The sequence below is a fragment of the Homo sapiens genome, chromosome 3 (genome assembly GCF_000001405.40).
Source record: "Homo sapiens chromosome 3, GRCh38.p14 Primary Assembly".
Taxonomy (NCBI): Eukaryota; Metazoa; Chordata; class Mammalia; order Primates; family Hominidae; genus Homo; species Homo sapiens.
In genome coordinates, this window is record NC_000003.12 from 177,596,489 (window position 1) to 177,608,559 (window position 12,071).

Below are 12,071 nucleotides of genomic sequence, written 5' to 3' on the forward strand. Positions count from 1 at the left end.
GGAAGAGAACACCTTCCTTTTATCTTAAAACCATGCTGTGATTGCCCCAACATATTCCTGACTGCCCAAACCTTGTTAACTAGGCGAGCCAGATAGAATTTGAGTGCATGCTCATTAAGCATAGATGCTTGGATATACACATATACGTACAGCAAGGAGTCATGCCAGGAAAAGGTGCCAGACCCCAGTGCTGTGGAATTATACTGGATTTCTGTGGCAAAAGCATCATGGAAGACCCTTTTGCAAGGGAGTGGGCTTTGCCAGAGTTTTCATGCAGAGTCATAAGGATATTCCCTTTTAGCATTTGGCACCAGTTATTTTACACCAACTTGTGAAGCACAGTGCCAAGTTCTATTGCCTGGAATCTCCTTAAAGGTTTACTCAGATGTTGAAAGAAGCATCCAAAGTCATATTTTCTGTTGTTTATTCTTTTGCTTTTTTTTTCTCTTTGCAAATGAAAACCAGAGGTGTAAGTGTTCCATCCCAAAGGAGGAAGATTGTATCAAAAGCTATACCTCCTTCTGCTCACTCATACAACTCCCATGCACATCCCTTGGCTTTAATCACACAGCTTTCCACGCTGCTGACTATGCCAGGGCAACTCTGTTCTGCATGTCTGTATTGCTTCAGGGCACATTTCAGACCAGAACTGGATGGACTCACCTGGCTGGGTAATTTAGACATTTGTGGTTTGCAATGTTCCAGTGTGCTCCAAGCTATCCCAGCTTACTGGTTTCTTCCCAGGAAGTGGGAGAAGACTTTATCCATTTGTTTTCTGACAAGAGACATTATGGCCATAATTTAAGCAGTTTTCCAGAAGTTTGGCAGCAGAGGGTTACAATCTAGCAGGATTCGGTATTGCCTAAGCAAATTTGAATTTGTACTCTGGCTCACTCAGCCCATTTTAAACCCAGCAGCCTGGGGAGAATGAATCCTTATGAAATCAATGCGGTGGCTTCAGTTTCCTGTGGATGGCTTCCAGAAATGCTCCAGACATTGCTGAATGCTCTAGGTAGACTCTCAGTGCTTCGACCAAGGCACATTCAGACAAGCCTTTTTTGATTCACTACATATATTTCTGTTTAGAAGCGGCAAGGCTGAACTGATGACCCTGCAACGCGGTTTTGTTTCCCTCTCATTATCTATCTGGCTTCACAGGAAGTGAATGCTTGGCTGGTGAAGACAAAAAAGCTGTTCTCCAGCCTCATGCTTCATGGCTGGAACATAGCCAGTTTAGGCTTGTGAAGAGTCCATTAAAAACACACGGAGGCAGTTGAGGGATGGGATCTGTGTATGTACAGGTCTTTCAAACGTAGGCAGCCTATGTTTGGCTTATGGGGCTTGGAGGAGAGGCCTTCTTTGATGTGATTCTTGGATCACATATTGATTAAAAAAAAAACAACCAGAAGTCTAATACCCACTGTAATGCATCCAGCAGACAACCTCTTAGCATCTCTATAGAGACCTTTCCTCCTTTACTGGGTCACACTTAGGGCACATTTAGCTCTCAGATAACCTTAAATAACCCACAGTTCATTTCCTGTTGACTTCGTGTATCCTCTACTTCCTGAAAGGTTTTCTTCTTTTTTTTCAGTTGCCACTCATCGTTAATATGACATTCTCCAGGTCTTCTCCGCACTTCAGAATTCTCTTCTGGGCTTTTGAATGTTCTTGTTTTTTTGCTGAATTGTTTTTCCTGGGTTTTCATCTTCTCTTACCCTGTTCACAGTGGAGAGGGGACTACATTTCACCCCTGCTGTCTCAGAATGTTTCTCATGCTTAACATTCTATTTTCCTACTGACTTGGACAAATTGCATTATAACCTTTGATCTGGCACAGTTCAATCACATTTTGGCTGGAAATGTTTTACACATTAAAATGATGAAGGATGACTTTATTTGCCAGACAAAAGATGTTTAAAATGGAAAAAAAGAAAAAAAAAACTCAAAAAGGTCTTTCTGGAGCTACTGTATGAAAAAGACTCTTGAATATGTAAAAGCTTTTGGAACACAGAAGGGAGTCAGTTGCTTCACTTTAGAGTCAGTTTAGCAAAGGACGGATTTGTGGTGACTTGTCACGGCCTTGAGATTTTTGAAAGCAGGTCTCTCCAGAAAGCCTGTCCTTAAAGACAGAGTGGCTTCTTTCCCCTTTGGCTAAGACTGACTGCCAAATTTCACCAGGTTGCATACCCAATGGTGGAAAGTGCCAGCTTCTTGGCTTTGCATAGGCAAATTCCTACCTCCCTATTTTCTCTCCAGTCAATGCAGCAGTCTGTTTATGCTGTGCAGACGGATACCCACCAGACAGGGTTTTCTGAACCTACTAGTCTATTTAGGATCCAGTTTTTTTTTTTTTTTACAGTGCTGCAGCCTAATTAAGCTTGGCGATATCATTAAACTTCTATTCAATTCGATTACATTTTAGTTCAAATGTTATTGATGCCATCCACATGCCAGGACTGTGTTAGGCATTGGGGTGGGTGGCGAGAAATGGTCCATACCCTCACGAAACTTAGCGCCTAGCTTAATTTTCTCATATTTATCAATTTGATCCTGACGAACTAGGACACCAATATATAATGCTAAAGACTAGATTTCTTCCATCCATACTAGTTGAGTTGTATAACATGAGTGTCTTAAAAACAAATTCAGGGCCATCTATTTTGCAATTGGATATGTAAAATAATTTGTACTATGGCTATTGTGGGAAATAGGATTCAATTAATGACTTGTGGGAACACTTTGCCAATAATCATGTATGAGAGACTTTTCCCCAACTGGTGGAAGCAGAGGGGAGGGAGGAAGTGAGCTGATGACAGAATGTAAAAGCAGAGAGTACATTGAAAAACCCACTTCATATAATTAGTATAAAGTAAGGTAGAAGCAAAATAAAACAAAAAGTGCTATTCATTTTGGTCCCAGAAACCATTGTTGGTGAGGGCTATTAAGTAAGCATCCAACTTACTTCCTCTAGCTCGACTTCCAGAATGTAGTGATATTGGAAACTACCCTGTGGATTTTTTTTTCCCAAGCCACTTCCTTTTCTGAGGAAAGAGACCTATTCTATGCACACAAGTCAGTTCTTGTTCGTTTTATGTTTTAGCAATGTGGGCCCTTACAAATCTTTAAAATGACACAATAGATCTTCATATAAGAACCTTGACAAGTGAAGCTGTGATACAAGCAAAGGGCAGAAGTGGAAAGGGTGTGGGAAAGAATGGAGCAAGAGGAAGGAAGGGTGGGGTTGGGGGTCCAGGGATGCTCCACGTGCGTGTGCCCTCATAGGTTAGACATTAGGAAGGCTTCAGAAACACCATACATTTGGGCAAAGCCTATACTCTTCTTTATTTCCTTCCTGCACAAACTTACATACCACCCCGTGCCTACTCTACCTACCACCCTTCACGATTCCACACCTCCTGGCAGGCAGTGCTCCTGTAACAAACCCCCCGACATCCAGGCTGCTTATATTTCTGTCTCAAGTGAATACGTTTCTAAAATACTGAGTTTGAATAAACAACACAATAAAGCAAGATTTAAAAATATGTTTACATTTGGCTGTTTGCCCTGGTTTGGGGAAGGGAGTAAGTATAGACTTTGTTATTCCCTCAGAATCCTCTAGAACAATTACCTTTAATGATGACCTGGAGGGTGGGGTCCCTTAATGATTTGCAAGAGATTCAGGGAGAGGTGTCTCAGGATGGTTTCTTCTGTTACTAATGTATTTTGTTGTGATTTCTTGGTCTTAATTGCAATTTTGTAGTTCATTCATCTAACATGGCATTCTTATAATAAATAAAAATGTGTAACTTCCTTCCTAATTATAGAAGTCATGCATAGTTATTGTAGGTCATTTGAAAAATTCAGAAAAGTCCAACTAAGAAGCAAAATCAACCATCATCCCACCTCCCAGTGTTATGTATTGTAAAGATTTGGTGTTTGTCTTGTCAATCTATGGTTGTGTTTTCCTCTCCCCATCCAATTCATTTTCATAATATTTTTATATATTGGCTAGTGTGACCAGAGTTTGGTTCAATCAATGATCGTCAAGTGACTAAAAATGTTCATGAAACACTTGCTTAGGAAATTTTTTAGTGGAATTAGCTAATCCTTTTTGAGAAACCAAGCCTATGTCTAGAAATAGTCATCATAATTTGGAGAAATCAATCAGCTTACTTTTAATATCACAAATCAGGAATTTTATGCAAGCACCAAACATGCATTGCCTTACTTTTATTTTTTTCCTTAACTCTTATTTTTTTCTAAGTTGATATATTTGTATCTTCTTAAGCAGCAATAAGATAAAAGAAGGAACAGCGAAGTTGGAGACAGAAAATCTGAGAAGAAGTCCTAGCTAGGTTTCTTAAGAACTTTGTGACATGGGCCCAGATGAACAAATGTATCTGGGCTTCAGATTTATCATCTGTAAACTGTGGATAATAGTGCCAACCTCATTGTGTTGTTGGGGTGGAAGGAGGGCAGAGGAGGAGCAAATAAGAGAATATATGTGGGTCACACACAAACTGAAAGTACTGTACAAATGAAAAGTATTTCATATTATATCACCTATGAAAACGTGGACACATTTTTCACCAGAGATGTCTTTAGATGAATTGCTCAAAAACCTTGAATGAATTTTCAAATGATAATTCCTCATGTTGCAACTCTCTCTAGGAAATAGTAGCCATTTTGTTGTGGCATCATTTCTCAAACTTTTCTGTACCAATTAGAATAGCTCTCTGAGGTCTGACAGGCAGAACTGGCTGAAGAGCCTAAAGGCATTGCTAAGATAAGTAGTCAGGCAAGTTTTTGATACCTAGGAGCTTGTGATTTCTTGTTATTGGGTCCTCTTCTTAATTAACAATCATTGTTCCTCTATTGCAGCTAGCACACACCCCTGTCAGCAAGCTGCTTTTCAGAATGAACCTGCCTGGACAATAGCAATGTAAGAGGAAACACTTCCACACAGCTGCAAAACCTAACCACTCCCAGATAGACAGGGAATCCATCAATCAACTCTGAGAATAAATCCTGCTGATACAATCCTCTGGTGGTGTCCCTTTGAGAGTATTATTATTATTATTTTTAAACAGAGTCTTGCTCTGTTGCCCAGGCTGGAGTGCAGTGGCATGATCTCAGCTCACGGCAACCTCCGCCTCCCGGGTTCAAGCAATTCTCATGCCTCAGTTTCTCAAGTAGCTGGGATTACAGGCGTGCACCACCATGCCCAGTTAATTTTTTTGTACTTTTAGTAGAGACGGGGTTTCGCCATGTTGGCCAGGCTGGTCTCAAACTCCTGACCTCAAGTGATCTGCCTGCCTCTGCCTCCCGAAGTGTGGGGATTACAGGTGTGAGCCACTGTGCCCAGCCTCAGTGTATTTTTTTGAAGTCTCCAAGTCAAAGATGCAAAGACTCCTCTGCAATCCCTCCCTGGCTCCACATCTCATCATCAAATATTTCTAAATCCTTTCTGGGCTTTTCTGACAATATCAATCATAACAGAAATAACCTGGAGCATTAGTATTAGCCTGAATAATCTTGAATCAGGTACTCCTTAGACTACACATGGTCCATAGTTTAGATTTATTACATATAGTTTTATAGATACTGAAGTGGAGACGTAAGGAGAGATTAGGTGATTTGCCACCAGAATGCCTTGGTTGACGGACAACTCAAAATGAAGAATTCTTGATACCCTCTCCTTTGTTGGGTCTCTGTTATGATCTAGAAATCAGGACAATACATCTGCCCCTTTTGAGAAACTATTTTTCCCTTCCCTTATTATCTCATTCAAATGTACTCTTACTCTTTAATATTAGCCATTTTATATTCAGAGCTCTCTTCCTCTTTGGTTTTCTTCATCGTCAAATTGTTGTGTTACTCATTTATGTTTCTCTTTTCATTTGCCTTCTGAAATTTAAAGATTTTTCAGCTGGGTATTTCAGGCTTCAATCTCTGGCATTGTAAATATCACTTGCATGGTGACCCCAGTGAGGTTAAGAAAAGGTTTACTAAGTGTGTGTGTGTGTGTGTGTGTGTGTGTGTTTGTGTGTGTGTGTTGGGGCGGGTAGTAACATAAAATACTTTGGTATTCACCTGTCAGTGTGCACTTAACAGAATGCAGAAAAGAAAAACTGAGCTGGGAACACTGTAAGAGCAAAGAATTGTTTGTTTGTTAATAAAAGGTTATGAGTCATAGGCAAAAGGGAAGCAGTAGTTCAAGAGAATAAGAGAAATAATTAGGTTCAGAGAGGCAGAAACTCTGGTCCAGATGGTGGGGGATGCAGGGGAGGGTAAACTGCACCTCAGGGAGCGATAAGAAAAGGAGGAAGGAGGATGTGAAATAGGCAGGTGTCCAACAATTGTATGCCAGGATGGTAGGAATGTGAGAGGAAATACCTCCAAAAAGCTCCAAAACCTAACCACTCCCAGGTAAGTGGAGAAAATCCTTAATAAAAATAGTTTTGGTGTTGGAGTGTCTGGAGGGCTGGTCCTATTTGCCCTTCATAATGAGCATAATCATGTCATAGCTTGGAGGTTCCAGGGAGCCTTGTTGGCACTGGAAACAATGAGAAAACCAGAAAAGCAAGTCTTTTGGCTCCTAGCTACCTTGAAAGAACTCATGCGATATACAAAGGGTGATCCATTCCCTTCCATAACCCCTTCACCCAAGCACATAAACAGGGACAAAATGGGAAGGAGGAATTGTCCTGCTGATTACGGTGAACTGAACCGGCCTGTTGTGTAGAAAGAACCTTATCTCCACTTGTTCCAATTCAAATACCAGTTGACAGAATGTTCCCCAATGACTGATACTTGTCATGCTGAGTATTAGGGAGTCATTTTTTTCATGTCAGAACTTCTAAGAATCTCAAAATGACCAACTCAAATATGCCATTCTGTGGTTTCTTGCCTCACCCCTTTCCCTTTTACAAATGTGGAGCCATATGTTTCAGAACATACAGCTGTCCTTGCTCAGAATAGCCCAAAATAGCTAGATTCCCCTGCACCTCTCTGGGTGTTAAATGTATTTACATTTCAAAATGCATGTGGGGAAGTGGTTGATTTTACATAGTTTTTTTTCTTGGCTGTCAGCAACTTCTCTCTTCTGTGTAAACTTAACTTAGTTCAACTAACCTAAACTTGAAGTTTAGTTCCACTCATTACAACTACATTCCAGGTGCTCAGTCTTCCTTTCGTGATCTTATCATTTCCATGATAACTGAAACAAAAAAGAAATTTTCCATGAAGAATATGATAAACTCTCCTAGAAGTCAAATGTAGGGCTGGCTAAGGTTATTTTAGTCCACAGGAGTAGTTTAAACAATGTTTGAAGTAAACAGAGACAAGAATATCACACTCCCGTACCAGAGACTCGCTTTAAATTTGACTTAACCTAAGACAAAAGATTGTAAAGCAACAGTGAGAATGAAGGTGGCTATGTTTTCTGATTTTTTTTTTTTTTTTGAGATGGAGTCTTGCTCTGCTTCAAGACTCAGTTCACAATAATCACAGCCTCCTGTGTTCAAGTGATTCTCCTGCCTCAGCCTCCTGAGTGACTGGGATTATAGTCATGCTCTACCACGCCTGGCTGATTTTTTTTGTTTTTTTTCAGTAGAGATGGGGTTACACCATGTTGGCCAGGCTGGTTTCGAACTTCTGGCCTCAAGTGGTCCACCCACGTCAGCCTCCCAAAGTGCTGGGATTAAAGGCATGAGACACTATGCCCAGGCTCTTTTCTGATTCTTAATTGGCTCGATGAACCAAGATATTTTGAATGAATACCTCTCCTTCTCCCAAATGGTTTTCTAGTGAAGTGCAGGCTCCACGGACTAAACCGATTAAGTGGAAAATAAATGATTGTCTAAGGTTCATTGAAAAAGGAGTGCTGCAAATTCTCAATTCTGGGAGATTACCCGTGATAAGGTCATGTCATGGAAATTCCAAGGGGATGCTCCAAATACCAGAGATTTTTGTTGTTTGTTTTGTTTGCAATCCTTATGAAAAAAGACAGGTCCTGTAATCCCAGCACATTGGGAGGCTGAGGCGGGTGGATCACGGGGTCAGCAGATCGAGACCATCCTGGCCAACATGGTGAAACCTGGTCTCTACTAAAAATACAAAAATCAGCCAGGCGTGGGGGCGCGCATCTGTAGTCCCAGCTACTCGGGAGGCCGAGGCAGGAGGATCGCTTGAACCCGGGAGGTGGAGGCTGCAGTGAGCCAAGATCACGCCACTGCACTCCAGCCTGGGTGACAGAGCAAGGAGGCTCTGTCTCAAAAAAAAAAAAAAAAAAAAAAGAAAAAAGACAGGTCATATGAATAAAGAGATTTCTTCAGAATAATTGACTTGAAATCGTTACATACTACAATTTAGCTTAGCTTGCTGAAGGATGGGGACCTAATAAAAGTGAAGAATATGTAAATAAAGTGCTATTTTAATGAAAGTCAAGGAAATATGCTTCCTGTGTCTACTATATATATGTACTGGCTCCTATGTCATTTCCCCTCCATACTTCTGGGCACAGTGAATGTCTCCTTTGAGCAATGGTCTCTTCTCTCTTCTTGTCTGGGTGTTACCTGCCTTTTAATGCCAGCTCAAATCTCACCTCCTATAAAACCTCCTCCTAACTTGTCCCCGGATAGGGTTGTCTTCCTTCTCTAAACACAGCTCTTGTTATCTGTAGTTCCCTAGCACTTGGCTTATATGTCATCATGTTATTTAATTGATTATCTATATATCTAGCTATTTGCCTGAATCCCAACTTTATGTGACCACTATCCAGGTTAAGACATGGAACACTTTCATTCTCTGTAAAGGCATCAGCTCTATTCTCATGTTTAAAAATTGCAGGTTGCAATAGTGCTATGATCTGAATGTTCATGTTTTTCCAAAATTCATATGTTGAAACTTAATCCCCAGTGTTGGGAGATGGAACATCTGGGAAATGGTTAGATCATGAGGATGGAGCCCTCTTGAATGGGATTAGTGCCCTTACAAAAGAGGACTGAGGGAGCTCGTTTGCCCCTTCTACCATGTGAGGACACAGCAACCAGGCACCATCTATGAGGAATGAGCCCCCACCAGACCTGAATCTGCTGGCACCTTGATCTTGGACTTCCCAGCCTCTAGAACTGTAAGGAATAAATTTCTGTTGTTTATAATGTACCCAGTCTAAGGTATTTTGTTAGAGCAGCCCAAATGGACTGAGACAAATAGTAATTGCCCAATTCCTTAAAGGAAATGGAAGGTGCCAGTTGTGAATTTAAAGTTCTGTTTGGAATTAGCAGGTTTGAGAAAAAAAAAAAAAAAAAAGTGAAAGGATGTCTCTTCCCCAAAGCTCTTCTCCAATAAATATACTGATTTACTGCTGCAGAGATACCTAACAACTTATAGTTTCAACACAGCTTTCATGCCACCAGTGTTAAGATCACTCAGGTTCTTCCCAAGTCATTAAATACCTGTTAATGCAATTGATGAATTAGCTCTCTGTTGAATGCAATTAAAGGAAAAGATGACAATATTTCCTATATAATGTTTGGTAGGAAAATTTTATGACTTGGGTCTGTTAGTGTTGTTTAGCTAATAGTGCCTCAACGTTGTATTAGCAGTTAAGCATTGTTCCTGGCCTACTGTTTACTGGGGTTTTGGTGGAGAAGAATTTAACTTCTCTGGAGTTCACAAAGTAAGAACCACAACATAGTTTATTTTATTTATATATTTTTTGAGATGGAGTCTCGCTCTTATCGCCCAGGCTGGAGTGCAATGGTGCCATTTTGGCTCACTGCAACCTCCTCCTCTCGGGTTCAAGCGATTCTCCTGCCTCAGCCTCCCAAGTAGCTGGAATTACCGGCACCCACCACCATGCCCAGCTAATTTTTGTATTTTTAGTAGAGATGGGGTTTCACCATGTTGGCCAGGCTGGTCTTGAACTCCTGACCTCAGATGATCCGCCTGCCTCAACCTCCCAAAGTGCTGGGATTACAGGTGTGAGCCACTGCGCCTGGCCAAGAACCACAACATAGTTTAATGGAAAATATTTCTTGTACAATTTGTGTTCATCTTTAGAAGAAATTTTTCTCTTCTGAAGAAAGAAAATACAAATACAAATCTCTTGAGCATATCTTTAATCAGTATTTACTAAAGAACATTAACTTAAGTGATGCCATTTTGTCCAAAATATAAGCTAAACTCTTGACAAACTTCAACATGTTTCGGAAGCAGAAATAAGGGCCTGTTGGAGGTTTCTATTTAGTTTCAAAGGAAAGCACAGCAAATCAGAATCCTGGAAGATTAGACCACCCAGGAGTTCTGCCAAGGTGAAGCTTTTATGAATCCTGGATTGTCTTACGTTTTATTTCCATTCACTTGTTCTGAGGAAATCTAACTCATCAGGAGACTTGAAGATAATGAGTACCCCTGGAGTATCTTGTGCTGATTTTTGTGATGCCTCAGCTGAGGCAACTGGTTGAGAAAGGAGCCAGATAGCATCTTTACACTAAGCCCCATGGAGATAAAGCTACTCCTGTTTCCTGTGATGCCCGGATCACATCGAGATGCTTTGCTTGACCTGTTGCTACTCTCACACAGCTTTCATGAAATGCTTCCTATTTGCTATCCTGAATCATAGTTTGACTTTGTTCACATCATCCTAGCCCTTTTAAAAAAGATGACCTCATCAGCCAGGTGAGTTGGCGCCCTGCCTCTAGAAATCTTCCTGTCATCTCTTTGTCTGCTTTAATCTTGGTCCCCGCTCCAACTTCTGTTCAGCTCTGTATTGAAGTTCTACTGTTTGGCCCTAGTGCTCTGCTAAACTGCCTGGTATCAGCTTCTCTGGCTCCGTGTTAGCCTTTGCTTTTCCCACAGCCCTCATGTTTGTCATTTTGTTCTATACACTTAGGAAAACTTGCTTGCCTTACTTTACCTGGTTCCTCACAAGGAAAAGAGCACAGGACAAGCCTGTTTCCTTTTGTAAAAAAATCACTGTGCAAATGGTCTCATTAGCATAATTTAGGAGAAAATTTTAAGTCTTACCAACAGAGATTGAGATTTCTGCTGTGGTAGCTGATAGGCTGAAGAAGAATTTCTAGATTCTTAGCTTTGAATGACATTTACTGAAAGAGGGAGAGGAGGTGGCAGGGGGAGAGAGAGAGAGAGACTGAGCAGCAAGTGGAAAATACTATATTCTTTCTCACTTAATGTGTTCCTGGGCTCCAAAGGCAAACACAATGAAATAATAATCTAAGAAAAAACCCAGGAAGCAGATGTCCTTGAAAAATACCATACGTGCGTTTAAACAGCTGCTTTAGATGATCTGTGCCATGGTTGCTCTGTATTACGGCAAATAAGCACTAGGGTCAACTCTATAGTTGATGCATGGTAGCTGATAATTACCAACCAAGATGAGCTCAGAAGACTTACAGAAAAACTCAGGCCGAATTCTCTCTTTGAAACGTAAACTAAAAACATTCCATTTATAGCCAGCTGCAGAAGAAATGTGTACTCATTACTAATAAAGTAATTCTGAAATCCTCAAAAGGAACACATCCTGAAGAAGAAATGATTGGAGTGGTCCCCAAATCTGCCACACTCTGAGTTGCATTTAACTTGTTTGGCTTAATAATTTTATGCAAGTGACAGACAGACTTATCTTCCGAGCCCCTCCCCTCTGTATACTGGAATTTGACAAACAGCATCTAGGGGAGAGGGGACTCTGAGGTTGGAAGGTAGACACAAATATCCTTGGAATGGAGAAGAGAAATTGATCAGGCTGCTATTGCATGATAACATCCACCTCCTCTGTTCTATTTCTAAAATCACCAGGAAGTCTTCGGATCTGTAATTTGATTTTCTGTGTAGCTCTACCTACCAAAAGGGAATGTGCAGACAGTTGGCCTAACTCCTGGGCCAAGCCATGTCGCCAGTTCTAAATGAGTAAATTGGCATTCTGGCTTAGTAAATCAGACTTTGGGTTTGCTTTGCATGAATCTAGCTCCAGAGACATATCACCTCTGGGCAAACTTAAAAATTGGGTAGTGGGGTCCAGGAAAGGGCTTTGGTGATACATGGAC

At 40.9% G+C, this 12,071-nt stretch overlaps 1 long non-coding RNA gene across 1 annotated transcript in view, besides 2 other annotated features; it reads left to right on the forward strand.

Moving 5' to 3' along the window:
• LINC00578 (long intergenic non-protein coding RNA 578) overlaps nt 1–12,071 on the forward strand; it is a 310,784-nt gene that overhangs the window by 154,568 nt on the left and 144,145 nt on the right. The gene's annotated exons all lie outside the window — the stretch shown is intronic.
• Nucleotides 6,073–6,367: a silencer, noted in NCBI's record as "tiled region #14869; HepG2 Repressive non-DNase unmatched - State 23:Low, and K562 Repressive non-DNase unmatched - State 9:DNaseU". NCBI's record gives its function as "represses a minimal TATA promoter and a strong SV40 promoter by Sharpr-MPRA in HepG2 and K562 cells {active_cell/tissue: HepG2 | K562}" and the evidence as "EXISTENCE:reporter gene assay evidence [ECO:0000049][PMID:27701403]".
• Nucleotides 10,436–10,636: a silencer, noted in NCBI's record as "fragment chr3:177324712-177324912 (GRCh37/hg19 assembly coordinates)". NCBI's record gives its function as "represses an EF-1alpha promoter that drives an FKBP-Casp9 reporter gene in an ReSE screen in HepG2 liver carcinoma cells {active_cell/tissue: HepG2}" and the evidence as "EXISTENCE:reporter gene assay evidence [ECO:0000049][PMID:32094911]".